The sequence below is a fragment of the Homo sapiens genome, chromosome 20, assembly GCF_000001405.40.
Source record: "Homo sapiens chromosome 20, GRCh38.p14 Primary Assembly".
Taxonomy (NCBI): Eukaryota; Metazoa; Chordata; class Mammalia; order Primates; family Hominidae; genus Homo; species Homo sapiens.
Genome location: NC_000020.11, coordinates 37,982,502 through 38,001,814, shown reverse-complemented (window position 1 = coordinate 38,001,814; position 19,313 = coordinate 37,982,502). Strand labels below are relative to the sequence as shown.

At 46.5% G+C, this 19,313-nt stretch overlaps 1 protein-coding gene across 9 annotated transcripts in view, besides 1 other annotated feature; it reads left to right on the top strand.

Moving 5' to 3' along the window:
- Positions 1–18,794, top strand: part of TTI1 (TELO2 interacting protein 1) — a 50,436-nt gene extending 31,642 nt beyond the window's left edge. For 3 of the 9 annotated variants that reach the window (NM_001303457.2, NM_014657.3, XM_047440606.1), the window contains 4 exons: positions 2,487–2,627; positions 4,862–5,066; positions 5,353–5,440; positions 18,176–18,794. In NM_001303457.2, coding sequence (NP_001290386.1) covers positions 2,487–2,627; positions 4,862–5,066; positions 5,353–5,440; positions 18,176–18,359 — 618 coding nt within the window. In that variant the 3' untranslated portion in view covers positions 18,360–18,794. Of the gene's footprint in view, positions 1–2,486; positions 2,628–4,861; positions 5,067–5,352; positions 5,441–12,875; positions 15,361–18,175 lie in introns of those variants that run through there. The other 6 variants (XR_001754440.3, XR_007067483.1, XM_017028148.3 and 3 more) reach the window with 5 other exon arrangements.
- Positions 11,151–11,230: an enhancer, noted in NCBI's record as "active region_17853". NCBI's record gives its function as "activates an Ori minimal core promoter by ATAC-STARR-seq in GM12878 lymphoblastoid cells {active_cell/tissue: GM12878}" and the evidence as "EXISTENCE:reporter gene assay evidence [ECO:0000049][PMID:35858748]".
- Positions 18,795–19,313: the final 519 nt, after the last annotated feature.

Here is a 19,313-nt window from a genome sequence, read left to right as displayed (position 1 = left end):
CCCAGGAGGCAGAGGTTGTGGTGAGCCAAGATCGTGCCATTGCACTCCAGCCTGAGTAACAAGAGTGAAACTTTATCTCAAAAAAAAAAAGAGAGAGAAACACAACTGCCTTAGTGACTCACTGTTAGTAATGAGTGTACATTGCCTTGCTCAGGGGTGATGGGCTAGGAAACCCTGATCCACAGATTATCTCAAATCTCAGCGCCTGTGTTGTGTGGAGTTTGTTTAGTCTTCCCAAGACAGCTCTTAGCATTCATCTGTTGTTCCATTCAGCAAGCACTTACCTTTTTACCTGCACGGCTTTAATGTAGGTGCCTGGCTGATACATTCAACATACTGCTGTATATCCTTCAAGACCTTCCTTTTTGTAGAGGATTTGTAGCAGCTGTATACATACCATAATTATTAAGAACATCAGTGTTGGAGTCAGACCTACATATCTGAGTCAGTCCAAATCCTGTTTCTGCCTCTTATTAGCCATGTGACCTTGAGTAAGTTAATTCATCATGTTGAGCCTTAGCATCTTCATCAGTAAAATGAAGATGATGGTACCTACCTCACAGGGTTGTTGATTATAAATATAAAACAGCATGAAATAAGACACATACACTCATTCATGTGCTAAATGCTTATTGAGGACTAGTGCAGGTCAGGCAGAGGATGTGTAGAGGGGATGATGCAGACACAATCCCTGTCTTCATGGAACTCCCTGTCTTTTGTGGGGAGAGAGGCAATACACAGACTCATACATATTGGAGAAAGGCTGTCAAGGTAATAGCACGTTCTATTTGATAGAAAATAGTAATTCACCCATGCGGCAGATACGTGTTGGGTACCTACTCGGTGCAAAACCCTGCTGACTAAGACAGAGCTTACCTTCTGATTTAGCCTAGGTCATCGGGGAAGGCCTCTCTGAGGTGGTAACATTTCTCAAGGCTGAGAAGGAGGCAGCCCTGCAAAGGGGCAAGGAGAACATTCCAGGCAGAGGGGAAATGTACATCTTTGAGTCAATGAAATATAATGTAACTTGTCCCATTAATGACAGAGCTCAAATTCCAAGCCTGTCAGTGATACCAAAGCCATTTCCACTCTGCTCCCCTGATCCCCTGCTCCCCACTGTGCAGCTGAGCTTTCTCTTACTCCCTGGCCTAATTATTCACCCCTCAATGGCAGGGTCTCTTCTGTTCCAGTCTCAGTGTGGACCAGCACATAGTAGGCGCCCAGTAGGGTTTACTGCTTTGTGTTGGCCGGCTTCTCTCTGTCTTGCAGACTAACGAGTGCCTCGCCCTGTGAAGGTTGGGCGTCCATGTGGGAGGGAAGCCTGCGCTGGCCGCCCACGCGGGAGGGAAGCCTGCGCTGGCCGTCGTACTGACCGCTGCCTGTGACACTGATGCAGGCAGTCTCTTTTCAGTGAGTTTGAGATATAAGAGATCAGGAAACAAGGAAGGTAAAATATCAGTTTATATGTAGGGTAGCCTAACCCTTTCTGGTGAGATTAACCTGTACCTCAGCTGCCTGCTGGGCCTCTCCATGTAGTGGTAACAGAACTTGGTCTCCCCTAGCCGCCCAACTTTCTCCTCCCGCGTGCTCCCCATCTCATTCAGTGGCATCTGCATCTCTTCAGTTGCTACCCCTGAAACGAAGCAGCTCTTTTCAAACCCTCACTTCCCCTCCCCAGTATCCAGTCCTTCAGCAATTTAAGCCACGTCATCTCCAAAACAGATATCCAGTCCTTTCACTTCTCTCCTCTGCCGCCATCACGCGGCCACATCACTTTGCTCCTCTCATGTGGATCCTAAAGGGCCTCTTTGTTTCTCTGTCACCCTTCAAGTCTCTTCTCCACTCAGCAGCCAGAATGACCTTTCTAAAACATGAATTGTATCATGTCACTTTCCTGCTTAAAACACTTTGACGGCTCCCCACTGCACTTAGTACAAAATAAAAAAAATTCCTAACAAACCCCTTTGTAGTTGGGCCCCGTTTTACCTCTTCTCTGTAATGCTCCACGCTGCCCTTCTTTCACTTCTTATGAAAGCTCTGTTCCACCTCTGAGTCTTCCTCATCACGGTTTCCAGTTGCATGAATCTTCACAGAACTAACTCCTACTCATCCTTTGTGTCTTCTTTTAGAAGCTCCTTCCCCAGCGAAGCCTTCCCAACAGTCTGTGGTTTAGATCCTTCCCCTCGTTTCTTTGCATTTCACCTTTGACTTCCCTTCTTGTCCCAATTGCTAATCATCTCTTCATTTAGGCGTTATCTAATTAAGGTCTTTCCCCAGCTGACCATGAACCCTGCAAAGGCAAGGAAACGTGTATTTTGTCTCTGTGTGTCCCCTCAGTACCTAGCTAGTGCTTGGCATGTAGTCAGCACTCAGAAAACAATTATCCAATTAATACGTTTCTAAATGTTATTCTTTGAAAATGGTGACTTGATCCCAGGTATCTGTTTTCAAGCCTATACCATCTGCTGAAATCGTGTCTCTTTCAGGTCTTGGATGTGCTGGATCTGTGTGTGGTTGTTCTTCAGTCCCACAAAAACCAGCTGCTTCCCTTGGCTCATCAGGCCTGGCCCTCGCTCGTTCACCGACTCACACGGGACGCCCCCCTGGCAGTGCTTAGAGCCTTCAAGGTACTGCACCAGCATCCCCCATGGTCTGTTGTGAGGGTAGAGTTAGTAGGCACAGAGCTCACCGGGGCCTTTTGGATTGGTTCTCTTCACCCGATTGCAATGTCACATACTGTGAAGAAAGTATAGAAACATAAGAAAAGCACAAAGAAGAAAGTAACAGTCTCCTTTTGAACTTGAAGCAGATGAACTAGTAGATGAAAAGGCCAGGCAGTAAGCTCAGCACTCCTCCACAAAGGAGTTTGTCTCCTTACAACCACTTTGCAAGGTAGGTATATTGTCTTTACTTTTGGCAGAGGAAGAAAGAAGCTCAGAGAAGTTAAGGAATTTTCTCACAATCGAACAGCTAGTAAGTGATACAAACCCAGAGCATTGAGTTCACACCATATTTGCACTGCACAGGAGTCAAGGCGAAGGGGCTGAGGTTCTAGCAGTGGGCATCCTCTGCCCAGCTGAGTGATGCTGACAAAACCCAGGACCACCCATTTTCGTGTTGGGCTTAGGAACACCTAGCCCACCTTTCTCATAGTGTTGTCAGGGATAAAATGGGACTGTTTGGTGAAATGCTTTGAAAAGCTAACAGTCCTATATATATGTAAGGTATTATTCTCCCTGGCTTAGTTTGGCTTACATTAGCACGGATATTTTAGCTTATTTATATCCTTTCTTGTTCTAAAAAGCCCTTAAGGCAACCTGCAGAGATACATACCACAGCGAGCTGCCATAAATTAGAAGAAGGTGCGCAAGATGAGGCAGAGAGAAAAGATCTGTAGGGACACAAAATGAAGCTGGTAATGCACCAGATACCGTTGGCCAAAGTAGTTTGATCTTCTGTAAATTCTTCAGCATATACTAGACCAAATTAAAATATTAAAAATTGTTAATGTTTTTTTCCCAAAACAAAATGCACAAAATGATACGTGTGTGTGTGTATGTATGTGTGCCAAAGAAAGAGGGAGATTAGGCCAGTCGCGGTGGCTCATGCCTGTAATCCCAGCACTTTGGGAGGCGGAGGCAGGTGGATCACAAGGTCAGGAGTTCAAAACCAGCCTGGCCAAGATGGTGAAACCCTGTCTCCACTAAAAATACAAAAATTACCTGGGCGCAGTGGCAGGCGCCTATAATCCCAGCTACTCAGGAGGCTGAGGCAGGAGAATTGCTTGAACTCGGGCTTCAGAGGTTGCAGTGAGCCAAGATCGTGCCACTGCACTCCATCCAGCCTGTGCGACAGAGTGAGACTCCATCTCGAAAAAAGAAAGAGATTAAGGGAGAGGGAGGTGGTATTGCTAAATCTTATCCAGATGTACTGCAGGGCGGGGTTTGGTGAGAATTAATAGGTTGTCTGAAATAACAGCAAGCATAGAAAAATGAAAAAAAATAAAGATGTGTACACAATAACTGAGGCTGCTTTCCCCATGCGCAGACACGATGATGACACTGAGGTCTATAGAAGCTGTGCCATTCAGCTGAGGGACCTAAAATGAGAGCCTTGTTCTCTGCAAAATGAGCAAACACTGTGCTGGTTATGCCTTGCTTACCAATTTTTAAAGAAATTCCTATTATCCTGTATACTCAGTCTTGTGCAGCAGGGCAAAACATTTCAATATGTTCTGCTAGAGAAAGTTTAAAACAAGACATGCAAAGAAACTATCTGTTCTGAAAGATAGAATGAGGGTGATGTGCATAAGAGATTGTGCAGCTGAACAGAAGGAACACCGAGTCGGCTGCAACTTCAGGGACCCTGCCTTGGTTCAGCCCAGGGACCTCGGCCCAGTCACTAACCTCCTGATGCCTGCATGTGGCAGCAGCTGGACCATAGTATTTGTGTTTGCTCAGCTAGCTAGAGTTTAAAGCATACATATTTTCTCAAGGGATGTTAGGAAGATTCAAGAAATGATCTATGTGAACTGCTTTAAGCTCTTCTCTTTTTTTTTTTTTTAACAAAAATGGGAGGGAAATCAAGATATTAATCATATTATTCATCCAACCCAAGATTCCTTTGAATTATTCCCCATGTAATCTGTATTTATGGGTAGAAGCAGCCATGCCTTGGGAGCAGAGACCTCCAAATTCATAACTGTCAGAATCACAAACCATGGGCAAGGAATTAACAGCAGTAATTCTATTTTTTTTTTCCCCCAAGCAGAGACCTAGATGAAATCGAATTACCAAGCATTCTTTAGCTCTCTTGCTGCCTTGGCAATGTTCACTCACCAGGTTGGAGGCTGTTTCTGCAGGTTTTACGTACCCTGGGAAGCAAGTGTGGTGACTTTCTTCGCAGCCGGTTCTGCAAAGATGTCCTGCCAAAGCTGGCTGGCTCCCTAGTCACCCAGGCCCCCATCAGTGCCAGGGCTGGACCAGTTTACTCGCACACGCTGGCCTTCAAGTTGCAGCTGGCTGTCTTACAGGGCCTGGGCCCCCTCTGTGAGAGACTGGACCTAGGTGGGTACCAGGCAGTTCCACCTGAACACACACACTTAGCATCTGTCTCACCCCTGCCATCATGCCCTCTGCTCAGTCGTGCCCCCCTCCCCTCCCCTCTGTGTACCTCCTTCCGTCTTATTTTGGCCTCATTTGTCCATTTATCTTGATGTGTTCTTTGGCGGGATGGAGTAGAGAGCCCAGAGCATCTTGCCTAGCTGTTGCAGTTTCTCCAGACACAGTTGGTCACTGCTTGTCCCAAATGAAGTGTAAGGGCTGATGCTTGTTTTGTTTTTCTTTTCTGCAGGTGAGGGTGACCTGAATAAAGTGGCTGATGCCTGCTTGATTTACCTCAGTGTCAAACAGCCCGTGAAATTACAAGAGGCTGCCAGGAGGTACGTCTGCCTGATCACCCGCATCCCTTTACGTTTGTTCTAAATTACAGATGATTTGCTAATGGCAAGCAGAGTTGAGGCATCTCTGCTCTTTTCTCTGTCACCCTGCCAGGTTAAGATAATTCTTTAACTGTGCCAGCACTAGAGATGGTATTTTTACTAGATGTGTTTCTCTTTGCCAGTAACCTTTTCCTCTGCTGCAAAGTCAGCAACAATTCCAGAGGGTCAAGAAGCAGAAAGACGGTGTGCTAGAGAGGACTCAGCACCCTCCTGGTTGGAGGGGAATCTGCTTCTAGGCCTGGAGACCAGGTGCCTGGCACTTCTTCATGCCTTGGCTTCTTCAACAGCAAAGTGAAAGTGCTGGGTTCCTGATATGGCATATGTCGACTCCACGGCAGGTCTTAGATGGGCATCGGTGCCATGAACCCTCACAAGTGCAAAGCAAAATTGTTTGTGTGCAGGCAGGTGCACATGTGCCTTTTTCTAATAGGAACCATTCATAGGTTCTAATAGGAATCTGTGACCCGAAGAACCTTAAGAGTTGCCAGACTAATGGCTTAAAGGGCCTTTTCTGATTCTGAAACTAGATGATTCCAATTTCTAAGAGTTTGACCATGCTTATTTGAGAAAAGCTGTATCACCTCTAGGAGAAGAAGCTGTTGCTGGTTACTTTAGGACTAAGAGCTAAAACTCAGCACAACAGCATTCCCCAGACATGAGACCCCAAATCTACTCTGCCCCTCTTCTCCAAGCTTTCCTTCCAGGTGGGAGCAGCCTGCATCCTGGAACTGCCATCCCAGGGTAGGTCTGCTGCTGGGGCGAAAGCTGGGCCTGGCACTCTGTGCCGCTCTGAGCCCTGCAGCTCCTTCAGCCTCACCAGCTTCACGCCTGCAGCGGAATCCCTGCATCTTCCTAGCTTCTAGAGGCACATCTCTGATCCTCTTCAGTGGGGTGGGAGTTAGGAGTCAACTCATTCCCTGAGGAGTGGAAAGGCTGCTCTGACTGTGCAGTGAGGAGAGCCAGCTTGCTCCTTAGAAACCTTGCACTCCCTGGGAGTGATGGTAATATCTTCTTGAATTGATTTATTGTCCTTTGCTGTTTTTTGCTCTTGATTTCCCATTTCCTTTTTTCTTCCTGTCCCTTTCCCGTCACATCCCTTAGTCCCAGAATCAGTCATAGTTTCATGAGCACAGGGGCGCATCCTAAGCAGCTTCTGTCCCCAGGCATTTTTATTCCGTACAGAATCAATTTAGGGTGAAAATAGTCCTCCCTGGGCGGTGCCCCTGGAGCTGATTGTGCTGTGACTTAAAGTGCAACTCAAGAACATAATGAGTTTATCTTGAAGTAAATCCTTTTAGATGCCTATTACAACCAAGAGTTAAAGGTCTGATTTTCACATTCCCCATCCATTCTATTTTTCCTACACCCACTCCATCCCATCCTTCAAGTTTAGAACCATCAAATAAGCTAATATTCTCAATTCATTATCTTTTCATTTCTAGTTCTCTTTTTTGCTGCTGAAAGCAATTAAACCCGGAATTGGACCTTGCTGAATCTTGAGCTGGTGTTCAGGGAGCCTCAGGTGGAGGAACACGCAGCCCCACCACTTGACCGCAGCTCCCTTTGTTTGCTCCAGCACATTCCGTTCAAGTGTTGAGTCAGATGGCCTCCCTCCTGATGGGCAGGGAGGGGGAGGAAGAGCTAGGTGGATTGCTTCACACATGTCACTTGCAAACTTATCTTGAAGTTGGGAAAAAAAATCAGTCTTGATCCTTGATCAAGAGCTGATTTGGCATCTTGATGCTGAAATTAATAAGCTCTCTAAGTGGGAGAAGAAGCCTGAGACAATAGGAAACCTGGTCTCTCTGTGAGCCTCATTACCGCATGGAGAGAGGGGTGGGTGGGTGGGCCACTTAGTATGGAAAAGTCATACCTGGCAGCTGGGTGCGGTGGGTGGCTTACGCCTGTTATCCCAGCGCTTTGGGAGTCTGAGGCAGGCAGATCACGAGGTCAGGAGTTCAAGACCAGCCTGGCCAACATGATGAAACCCTGTCTCTACTAAAAATACAAAAAGTTAGCTGGGCATGGTGGCAGGAACCTGTAATTCCAGCTAATTGGGAAGCTGAGGCAGGAGCATCACTTGAACCTGGGAGGCGGATGTTGCAGTGAGCCAAGACCGCACCACTGTACTCCAGCCTAGGTGACAGAGTGCAGTCTGTCATACCTACTAGTACTGAGGAACCAAGTCCCCTGCATGAGATGGAGTCCCATCTCAGCACATGGCCCTGCCATCCATCCTGTTGTTTGTTCTTAATTCTTCTCTTTCCTTCACACCCTACATCCATGACCAAAAGTAAAGCCCGCCTACCTCACTTGGAAAATTGCTCTCAAAACGACACCTCCAAACCACTAGGCCAGGCCAGGCCACCATCATCTCCCACCAGAACAACAGACCTCACCACTGGTCCCACTTCCAGTCCTGCCCCTCTAGGTATTCTCCATACTGCAGTCAGAGTGACACACTTACACACACTTACCCTCATGGGAGAAGAGAAAGCTGTGTTCGTTGCAAGGGCCCAAGTGGGAACCTTGGCTTAGTATTCAGAAAAGCCAGAGGTAGTGAGTTTCCGACCCTAGGCAGATGACCAGCTTGCTTTGGAAGTGGCTCTCCTGTCTGCCAGAGGGCTGGTGAGGGAAGCTCTCAGGGCAGGAGGCTGCTCCCAGGCCTCCTGTCTTCTGGAAGGAGAGGGATGTGCACCAGCCCTGTAGAACAGCCATGTCTGTGGGCCCCTCTGGCAGGTGGGCTTAGGACCTCCAAGGGGCGCCTTCATCGAGTTGGGGTGGAGGCAGACTTAGCAGCCCCATGAGAGTTCATCTTTATGTGCATCATGCTTGGGTTTTTCCTTGCTCCCATTTGCTTTTCCTGGCTCCAAAGAATGACCAAACCAGTGTTTGCTTTTTTAATTTGCCATATTAAATATAGCCTTTGTGGCAGGCTTTTACATCCAGGCAGTAAACTCTAGAAATGGACATTGATCAGGGGGTGGTTGATGTAACCGAGGTTGTAAATGCTAAGAACGGAGATGCCATTCCAGTTTAATGCTTTTATCTAGCAAATGTGCCTTGTATGGAGGGGGCATAAATCTTCCAACTGGGGGAGGCATGGGGGAGGGGCAGGGGATGGTGGGGGCAGGATGTGACCTTGCTGTGTGTTACCACCAGGTGTCACTGTTAACTGGCAATGCAAAAAAAAAAAAAAAAAGCCAGCTCCCCCAAAGTCCCTCTAGTTAAGTAACTTCAATGGATAACAAATGTGCAAATCATATTTGTGGTGTGGGAGGAGGGCTTAGCATACCAGGAGCTAAAAATAAGACAGTGTCCCTGAGGGTAGGCGTTGGATTACAGACAACAGGTCAGATCAGCCACACCCCCATCTCAGCCAACTGCAGTGGCAAACTTTGCTGATTGAAATTCTCAGTCTCCAGGATGTCTCCCGGCATGCCCTGGGCCTTCACAGTTCTGTGCCTTTCTGTCCAGGTAGCTTTTGCCTCCTGTACGTGAAAGGAATTTGAAAAGAGAGCATACACCCCAAATTTCTGTTTGTCCTTCAAGTCCATACATGTACTTAGCCTAGTTGAACTCCATTAAAACCATACTCCTTGGGCCAATCTCTTAGCAGACTCTGAGACTCCCTGGCTTTTGCAGTGAGGTTTTATATCATCCAATGAGCCTTTTACCCTGGGCTAAAAGGAAACAAAACTAGACAATACTTTTCAAATTTTTGAAAAGATGAAGTCAGGCCGTGTGCTGTGGCTCACGCTTGTAATCCCAGCACTTTGGGAAGCTGAGGTGGGAGAATCACCTGGGCTCAGGAGCTCCAGGCCAGCCTGGGCAACATAGCGAAACCCTGTCTCTACTGAACATATAAAAATTAGCCAGGCGTGGTGGTGTGCACCTGTTGTCCCAGCTACTTGGGAAGCTGAGGCAGGAGGATCACCTGAGCCTTGGAAGGTTAAGGCCATAGTGAGCCGTGATCACACCACTGCACTCCAGCCTGGGCAACAGAGTGAGACCCTGTTTCAAAAAAAAAAGAAGAAGATGAAGTCAGTGCCCAACAAGTCTCATAATAGAAAAATAAAGCTTTTAGGATGCTTGGCCTCCACCCCCAGTCCTACTCCCACCTGCTAACCCCAGAGCCCAGATAGGGATGCAGGGTGCCAGCAGGTGGTGACCAGCTGGTGTACCTTCTGGCCACGCAAGTCCTGGATGCTGTTATTGCTGTAGCCCCTGATGGGGCGCTGGGGAGGTTGCCATTCCAGCTCCCTCTGCCTCGCCATTGTGTGTGAGAGAAAAAGTAGCAGTCTTGCTTTGGACAAACCGAGGTTCAGATCTTACTGGCCATGTGACCTTGAGCAAATGATTTAGCTTCATTTCATTTTCTTCCTCTGTAAACTGGGGGTGATGAAAACTCCATTCTCATAGGGTGCTTGTGGATGAATCACGTTAGTATGTCCAAGGAGTCTCCAGGTACTGTTCTAGGGACTGGAATTAGAGGGAACAAGATAGGGGCCTCTACCCTCTGCTTATGTTCTGAAGGTATATTTACATCTGTGTACACACCTATGTGGGGTACATGTATGTAAATTTCCCAAATATGTTATACATGATGTGTATGTTACTCATACACATAGACACTGGCCACAGAATTTCTAGTTGTAAGCCTGCTTCATCCTTACTAAAATCTGAACTGGGGATTTCACCTCAAAAGGATCTTTTTCATGTTAATTGTGCCACCACTGTTTGCAGAAGTCAGGACCGGGTTTGAAGGTTCATTTACAGACTGACTTCCCTGCTCTCTTTCTAGCAGTAGGATCCCATCCCATCAAAGAACCAGCTGGTGCCTTCAAACCCTGGACGAACACAGACCGGCACAGGCTCATTCATTTCATCCCTGTCAGAGCCCCAACTCCTCTCTTTACCCACACATGAGCCTATTATATTTGAACGGATGAGGAGCCACAGAGGTGATCCATTAGTTCAGCTGAGCTTGAAATTAGTAGCTCATCCCCTTAAATGGTGTGGGCAGTTTGGCTGAGCTTGGACTGCAAAGCTGTTCCCCCTTGGATTGCACCCAGCATGGAAATGAGGACACACCTAATATTTTTTCCTTTTGACACTTGATTAATAGTTGACAAATCCAAACCCAAGTAGTTAGCTTTCCTATTATCCATCTTTTGACAGGCATTGCTGGTTTTCTTTTTGAGTCCCATTGTTCTAAAAATACACTCAGATCTGGAGCTGTTCACTGTGCATATATAGGCCTGATTTCATGGTGTCAAAGATAAGAGACATCTGGCAGGCAGATTACAAACAAAGTGGGTTGCTGGGTTTCAGAACTGAAGGCAGGGACCTCTGGGCTACTTAAATCTACTTAAATTCAGTGCTGCCAATTCTGTCCCTTCTTCCTTGGTGTTGTCATGTCACTGATAACCTGCCAGGGTCAACCATCTTACCACCCGGTAGGAAAGCCAAGCGTGGGGTGTGTGTGCACAGTGCATGCCGTGCCAGGTTGGGAGCAGAATGTTCTCGATGACAGATCGAGCCTGGTCGCAGCACCGCCTGCACAAAGTGGGTTTTGGTCATCAGAGGCTGTGGTCGACCACAGGGTAGTCATTTCCTCATTCTGCAGGCTCTGTCATCCCTCTCGAACACCTCAGAGGCGTGGAAGTAAATGTTGTCTCAGTACTGAGTAAATAAAGTAGCCAGGGAGATGATCTCTATTTGTCTTATTGTATAGATGTATTTTAAAAGATTTTTATTGGGTCTCTTATGATGAGCCAAGTGCTGTGTTGAGAGTTGAAGATTTTCAGAGATAACTACCAAGGCCTCACATTGTTGTTCAATAACAAGATAACCTTGGCAAATTAATTCACTTCTCAAAGTCTCTGTTTTCTCATCTATAAGACCGAAAAAAGCATGTATGTTATTTTGCTTATTTCACCTACTACAATGACGACAAGGATTCAGTAAAGTCAGGTAGCACAAAATACCACCACAGAGTAAAAGTCACTAAATAGTAGTTGTGAATCATTATTTAAATTTCTTCTTATTCCGAAAATGACTTGGAACATCTTATAAATTGTTTGCAACAAAGAAAAAAGGAAGGAAGTGAAGAAATTTTTTAAATGGAAAAATAACAGCAAAAACAAGATGAGACCGAGTTGAGGTTAATATAGACAATACAGTTAGAGCCCTGCACCCTTGCTAGAGAGGAGCTTTCAGAGTGGCTCTGTGCTTCCTGACAGACAGCAAAGAGGAAAATGGTACAGGAAGTACCTGAATAAGAGTTTTTAAAAAGAAAAGGAAAGAAAGCTTTTCAGAAAGAAGCATGGCTTTCCTTATTACTGACGCTTGAGGAAAATTTCTCTGTGGGTCATCTTAAAAGAACACTGGGTACTGTTGTGACTAATATCCTCAACGTCCTTGCAGTAAATACAGAAGGACATTTCCTAGAGCTGTTTCTGAAGGCATCCGTGAGTGGAGGCTGCTGGCTTAGTGCCAGAGCACAGGTTACAGGAAAACAGTTCAGGCAGGAGGTGGGCAAGCCTACCTAGGCTGCTATGAAGATGTCTTTATCTTCAAGGGTACATACCTTCCAGGGAGGGGCAGGAAACAATGTGGCCCGAGAGTGCAGCCAGCTGGGGGAAAGGTCCGAGTCAGCCCTCATAGTGCTCAGCACAGAATGCCACTTTGAAATCTGTGCCCAATACACTGTCGTGGGATCTAGGCTTGCAGGGTTCCTGGAGGCAGGAGAACTGGCCAGATGGAAAGGGCTGCTTTTAAATCTCGCCCCAGTGGGATGTAAACCCTCCTAGATTCTGGCTTATTTTTGAATTGTCTATAACAGATTGGACCTCTCAGCGCCATATCCTTTTAAATATGCACAAAGCAATGGAATCATTCCTCTGCATTTATGATACTTTATCTTGTGGCACTTCAGAGGTATGGTTAGCATCATTTGCTTCTACTGGTGTTTACGGTTTTAAGTCCTGCCCATGTTGCATTTAAATATTTTTGATATGGGTCTCTGTGTGAGTATGCATGTTGGCGTTAGATCGATAGATGAATGGTTTTGAACAGGTAAACATAGTTAAGTCAAACGAGCATGTATAGCTGCAAAGGTAATTGGTAGTATTTATTTGGAGAGTAAATCGTTGCTTCAAGTCATAATCCTCCATTTCCAACATTTAGAAATAAAAAACGACCTCCGTGCAGGGGAAGATAGCTAAATTGAATAGCAAGAAAGGACAGGCTTGAAATACTGGTTAACCAATGAACTGAGACCCATTAGAGTAAATTACCAAGTATAGAAACATAGCCCCACTGCTTGCTGGCTAGGACGCATCAACACCCTGAGCATCCATTTGTTTAAAAGGAAACACACAGCCTCCTTTGCAGCATCAGCATGCACAGAGTGATGGGAGAAGAGATGGCCAGAGAGGAGGAGAGTGTGGAGGCTGTGCTGCCAGAGAGGGAACAACGGGAACACCAAAATAACTTAGTGAGTATGCCTGCTTTCCCACAAGTGAGCTTACTTTCCCACTGCATTTAACCATGCCCACATAGAGAGAGCCTGTATCGTGTTCCTAAGGAGACATTTCTGAGTAACTTCTTTAGAAGCCCCAAATAAGTAAGCAAACAAACAGATCACAAAGCCACATGTTCTTTACCACTGGCATTTACCCTGATGGCTCATGAGAGCATTTTATAAATCCAGAAAGAGACGGAGAACAGCAGATCCCTCAAGCAAGTAATTGACACAGGAAGAATAGCCTGTCACCCAGGAGAGCTGGAAGCCCTGCATTTCAGTTACAGTTTATTTAGCTTCACTGGGCCCTCATTGGCTGGCGGTTTTCTAGATCTCTCTTTGAGCAGATGTTGTCTAGACAGAGATGGTGAGAACATATTCTGTAATATTCGCTCCTGCAGCAGAGCAGAGGGGGTTCTTTTTGGTTTTGCCATATTGTGGGGTGGGGTGAGTAATGATCCAGTGCCCATGATTGAAAACTCTCGTGGTCTGTTGGAGCTACCAGGGATCTTAGAACTGATCTGGTCCACTCGCTCTTTACAGAGAAGCAACTTGCCGTGCCTCTCCTCAGGAAGCCATGCCTGGTGCCACCCGCACATCACTTCTAGGCTGGCCCTTGCAACAGTGTGCCATGGGCCTCTGTGATCCCTTAGTCTACCCCAGCAGACAGGGAGCCCTGAGGGCAGAGGCTTTTTTGTCCCTCTCTCTTTGTGCCTCAAGCACCTCAGTTAGGGCCTGGGCTGGACCAGGCTTTAGTAAACGTTTGATAAACCATGAAGAGATAAAACTTAAACCCAGCTGACCAGATTCCAGGAGCACGTTTCCTCCCTCCCCATTCCCACCTCCTCGCCCCCAGCTTGCTCACTAGGGGCACCCCCATACTGATCACGAAGGAAGGAGCCACTTCTGGTTTGGCATCTGGAGTTTATTAGGTACTTACTGATAGCCGTCAGTTGTAGATAGGGCTGAAGTGCAGGCAAATGGCTGCCTGCATGGAGTGAAATTCAATAAAACTGCATTTTAAGTGAAAAATCAGTATAAACACCAGGCTTCTTTGCCATGGAAACAGTTGCTTAGAAACTGCCTAACAGCGAGTTCTAAATTTTTTAAAGTCAAGTTATCATTTAAGCTACACGGCCTTACAGGTTATTGAGAGATAATCACTCGCCTCAGGACACTCGGAGGCATGTGGCACAGCTGAGTGCCTCCCGATACTCTGGGGACCAGATAATCTCTTGATAACTGTGCTCTCTGGAGCCACTGATTTGGGCCTGGGGGGAGGAGAAAGAAATTTTTGTTCAGGAGTTAAATGGTGTACATATATTTTTTAAAAAGTGTTTCTCTTTGGGTTTGAAAAAAGATGGAACTGGCCATTTGGTATGTTCAACAGCCATCCCTGCGCATCGCAAAATGTATTGGGAACATTTTCCAGGCAGTTACCCCAGTCACTTCAAAGCAGAGGTCCTGTCTTTGTCTTCTGGCTTTGGCTTATGCAAAAGGAGTTTTCAACAACTTTGGCTTTCAGCTGTTCACTCTCTGGTTTCAGCTAAGGCTGGGCAGGAACTGGCCCCAGGACAAAGTGACACCAGAGTTTGGAACAAAGCCTGGCGCTAAGGACTCAGATCAGACCTCCTGGGCCTCAGGCTCAGCTCCCAGGGGCTTAAAGCCAACAAGGGTGCGGTTTGGAATTTGTCGTGTTTAGAGTTCAGCAGGCCGCCTGCCTCTCGGAGTGAGAGCACAGCTACACTTGCCAGCCATCTGGTTGCATGGCATGGCATTTGCTCCCCACCTCAGGCATGCAGAGGACAAAGTATATTGCATTTGTTTCTTCCTGAAAATAATGGGCGAAATTAGAACATCATTGGCTGAGAACTGGGATACCCCCACCAAGTCAGTATGGAGAAAATTATGAGTGAAACAAAAGACAAATGTTTTGCCCTTTTCAGGGTATCTGAAAATTATCCATGGCATGGTAGTGCTGCTAAGATTGGTGGTGTTAATTATGCCTCAGACTCTGTGTCCCTCTCTCTCTCTTTCTGGAAGAAAAGAAGGAATACTGTTTTCATCATATACTTCAAAGTGTTGTCCTGCACCTCCTCTCCTCAGAGCCTCAGAAGGACCTGTGAGGAGAGTGGGCCAGGTGTGATCATCTTTGGAGAAAGAGGAAACAGGTTCATGAGGCAAAATCACTTGCTCTAAGCCACAGAGGTGGGAGAAGGAACGTGCATTCCTGCCATTCTGGGGCATCTGCCCCTTTAAAAGCAAAGAAATGAGACCCAAAACAGTCCTTCCAAGAGTTTGGCTCTTGCTTAATAAAAGAAGGTGAACTTTGCACAAGTTTTTCCTTTGCTTTTCTGTTAATATTTTATGTGGATATCTTGCAGGGCAAAAAGAGTGGCTTATTTTCTTTTCCTTTCCTGCCAACAAATACGACATTCATATTTAGCATGTTAAAAAGAGCTCAGAAAATGAACATTGCAGCATTTTCATGCTGTGTAAGTCAGAGCGCAGCTATGACTGAACTGGGTCGTGGCACCGCTTTGCTGGGTGTTGCCCAGATAAAAATATTCCTTGAAGCTGGGAGAGCACCACGCTGTAGCTTGAGAAATTGTTCCAGCTCTTGAAAGGGGAAAAAATCAAATGAAACCATTTGCATTCTAACAGTCTTTGGCACCAGGGAAAACTGTCAACTGTGTCACGTGTAAATAGAAATCTGCTCCCCGCTTTTGGTGCGTTTTTTCATAATTTCCCTTGCCACTCTAATTATCAAAGATATTTTTATTTTTAAACAAAAATTGTCTCCCACGCAGGCCTCATCTTTCTGCGGTGAAGTGGAAACGATGAATTAGAATATTCTAATCACTTCTCCAACAACCACTATGGAGGTTATAAACACAAGATTATCCTAGCAAAGAAAAGTAAATTGTTTGGGCACAGAACAGGCCAGGAAAAAATTCAGTAGGCCGGGCCCGGTGCTCACACATGTAATCCTACACTTTGGGAGGCTGAGGAGGGTTGATCACCTGAGGTCAGGAGTTCAAGACCAGCCTGGCCAACATGGTGAAACCCCGTCTCTACTAAAAATACAAAAATTAGCCGGGCATGGTGATGGATGCCTGTAATCCCAGCTACTCAGGAGGCTGAGGCAGGAGGATCGCTTGAACCCAGAAGGTGAAGGTTGCAGTGAGCTGAGATCGCGCCATTGCACTCCAGCCTGGGCAACAGAGTGAGACTCTGTCTCAAAAAAAAAAAAAAAATTCAGTGCCCTTGTCCACCCTCCCCACTCCCCCACTGCCTCCCTGACCTCCTTAGTGTATGTCCACTACACCTAAGGATGATATCAAGACTGGCTTCACGGTAAGACCCAAATCCCCTGAGGGTGCAGGTCTTTCATATTAGTGAAATTAAAATCCAGAATTTACTCCGACTTAGCAGGCGTTGAAGTTCCTATTTAATGCCCAGCAGTATGCAAGAGGCTCCTTAGAATAATTGCCAATAATAAAATGTGATTTATCAAATAGATACTATGTACTGTTAATTGGTAAATAGGGATCACGTGCTAGACTGTGTAGGGCTTGATCTGTGCTTTAAACCTCAGCAAAACCCTGAGTGAAGTACATCCCCCATTTTTGGAATGGGGAAACTGAAACAGGGCAAGCTGAATAATTTCCCAAAGCCACATAGCTAGTGATGCCTCTGATAATTTGAATCCTGTTAATAATCTTCCTTGTTCCTTCCTTGGTGGTGAGAGTTTAACCCCTCCTTCAGATCCTTTCGTAGAACTTAAATATTCTAGAGAGGGTTGTCGTCTAAAGTCATTCATGTGCAATGTAGTAACTCACCACGTCCTCATTAAAATGAGAACTCATTGTTACATGGACACATTGCAGGGGAAAAAAGAGAAATGAGAACCTGTTCAGTCAATATTAACTGGATGCTGACCACATGCCATTCCAGGTGCCCGAGATACAGCAACCTACAGAACAGATGTGGTCCCTGGTCCCTGCCCTTGGGGAGCTTATGTTGTGAGGGAGACAATCAATGGTCAATATGTGCTAGGAAAGGTGTCCTGAAAGAGAAAAGTAAGGGGCAGCCTTACTTGGGCACAGTGGTGTGGGCAAAATGGCATGGGGAGCCCAGCCTCCGAGCAGGCGATGGTGAGCTGAGATGGGCAGACTGGCTGGGAGGCCCTGCTCACTGCAGGAGGGCCCCATTCTTCCAGGGATTGCCAAGTCGGACTGAATTGCCACCATGTATGAAGTTTACGCTTAGACTGCCCAACACAGTGGCCCTGGGCACGTGACTGATCTTTCAGAAATAGTATTTGAGCAGCTAAGAGGCAAGAGTTGTGACCCCAAAGTTCAGACGAAGATAAAAACCACCCTCGGTGGCTGTGGGGTGTCCAGTAGCCCAGGGCCCTTGAGCTCTGTCCCTGTCATGCGTCAGAGGACATCAGTGCTCTATCTCTGCCAAAGGTTACAGAGCAGAGCTCAGCCAGTCCTGCCCCAGGAGAATAAAGGAACCCTTTGACAGCCTGCCAAAGGCGGCATATTCTGTGGATCTGATCCCTGTGGGGAAACGGGCTCCTCACACGGGAGCCATGAGTGTCTGTTCACACCACCAAGTATCCATGGCTCTCAGCCAGGAAGGGTCCAACTGCCGACTTCAGCAGCGTGCTGGAGGACCATAATATTAAGGCTTGCTCAGGGCCCCCGAGCAGGACAGGGAGCCCTGCCCTGGGCCTGCCTCAACCCTGGGCTGGGCCTGTGAGCTGAGCAAAGCCTTTAAGAAAGGGTACACTCTGTCGTTTTTCTTCTTTGTGAAAACTCCTGCTTTCTACTCTGGAACTCAACCTCTTTCTTTGCCAAGAGCTTGTTTGCTGTCAATATTGTTCTGCTCAGACTAATTACTGGTTTCTGTATGTCGATGGATATGAAACTGTTACCTGTATTTCGGTTGGGCTTTGGGACCATCCTACTGGTCCTGTCTTAGGAACTCAAGTGGGTTTTTTCTACTATTTGAAGTGACTTGATATTGTTATCAGTTTCTTCTCAAATAGCCTGGTAAACAGCCTCCTGGTTGGGGCTGTAGCATTCCCCGCCTTCCCTCTCTGTACCCTCTACTCACTCCTTTCCATCTCTCCACAGCGTCTTCCTCCACTTGATGAAGGTGGACCCAGACTCCACCTGGTTCCTCCTGAACGAGCTTTACTGCCCCGTGCAGTTCACACCTCCCCACCCCAGCCTCCACCCTGTGCAGCTGCACGGGGCCAGCGGGCAGCAGAACCCCTACACGACCAACGTGCTCCAGCTGCTCAAGGAGCTGCAGTGACCCTGCTCCCCCACCACAGAGGCCACCGATCCCTCCCCTACTGCCAGCCAGAAGCTGGGCTGACCCCACCCCGGCCATAGGCGGTGGCAGCGGCAGCAGAGAAGGTGAATTAGTTAGCCAATCGATTTATAAATTGATCGATCACACAACTGCTTAGAAATGGATTGAAGGAAAGTAGCTGACTATTATTTATGTTTCATACCTTGTGTTGTCAAGTGACATTGTCTGGTGGCTCTAAGGGTTTAACCCCTTAGCCTACCATCTCTATAGCCCCAGCTCCCTCACAGGCCACACACACACACACACAAGAGGTCAGTTCCCCTCCATCTGCATACACCTCCCTGTCTTCAAATAATGAGATGGAACTAATTTGTTTTACCTAACCTGATCTTTGGGAAACAAACGGAAATAAAGACACTTCTTGGATGAAAAGTATGATCAAAAGCTCACTTTGAAGTTTTTTATTTAAACTGGGTGGTTTTTTTAAAATGAGTTTATATTCTTGAATGGTTAATATAGAACCATGGTATAAAATCCAAATCCAAGCAGTACAAAACAGAAAACAATGAAGAGTAAATCTCCCCCTCCCCATTTCCCAGCCGTCAGGTTTCTCTCTCCAAAGGCAACCACTCGTAACAATGTTTTGGTTACTTTTCAAGCAGGAGGTTAATTTTTTTTAACATTTTACTATGGGTAATAGTGTAAATTCCCATGTCCCCATGAACCTGGCTTCCCTGGCAGTCAGCATGTGGCCAGGCTTGCTTCCTCTGTGCCCCACCCATGTACCTCTCTCTCCACACCCCGGATTTTTTTGAAGCAAATCCCAGATGTTACATTGAAACTTTTTTTAAACGTACAACCACAATACCATTATCACACCTAACCAAATTAACAATGATCCTTTAATATTGTCAGATATTTTCAGTGTCTAAATTTCCCCAGTGTGTTTGGATC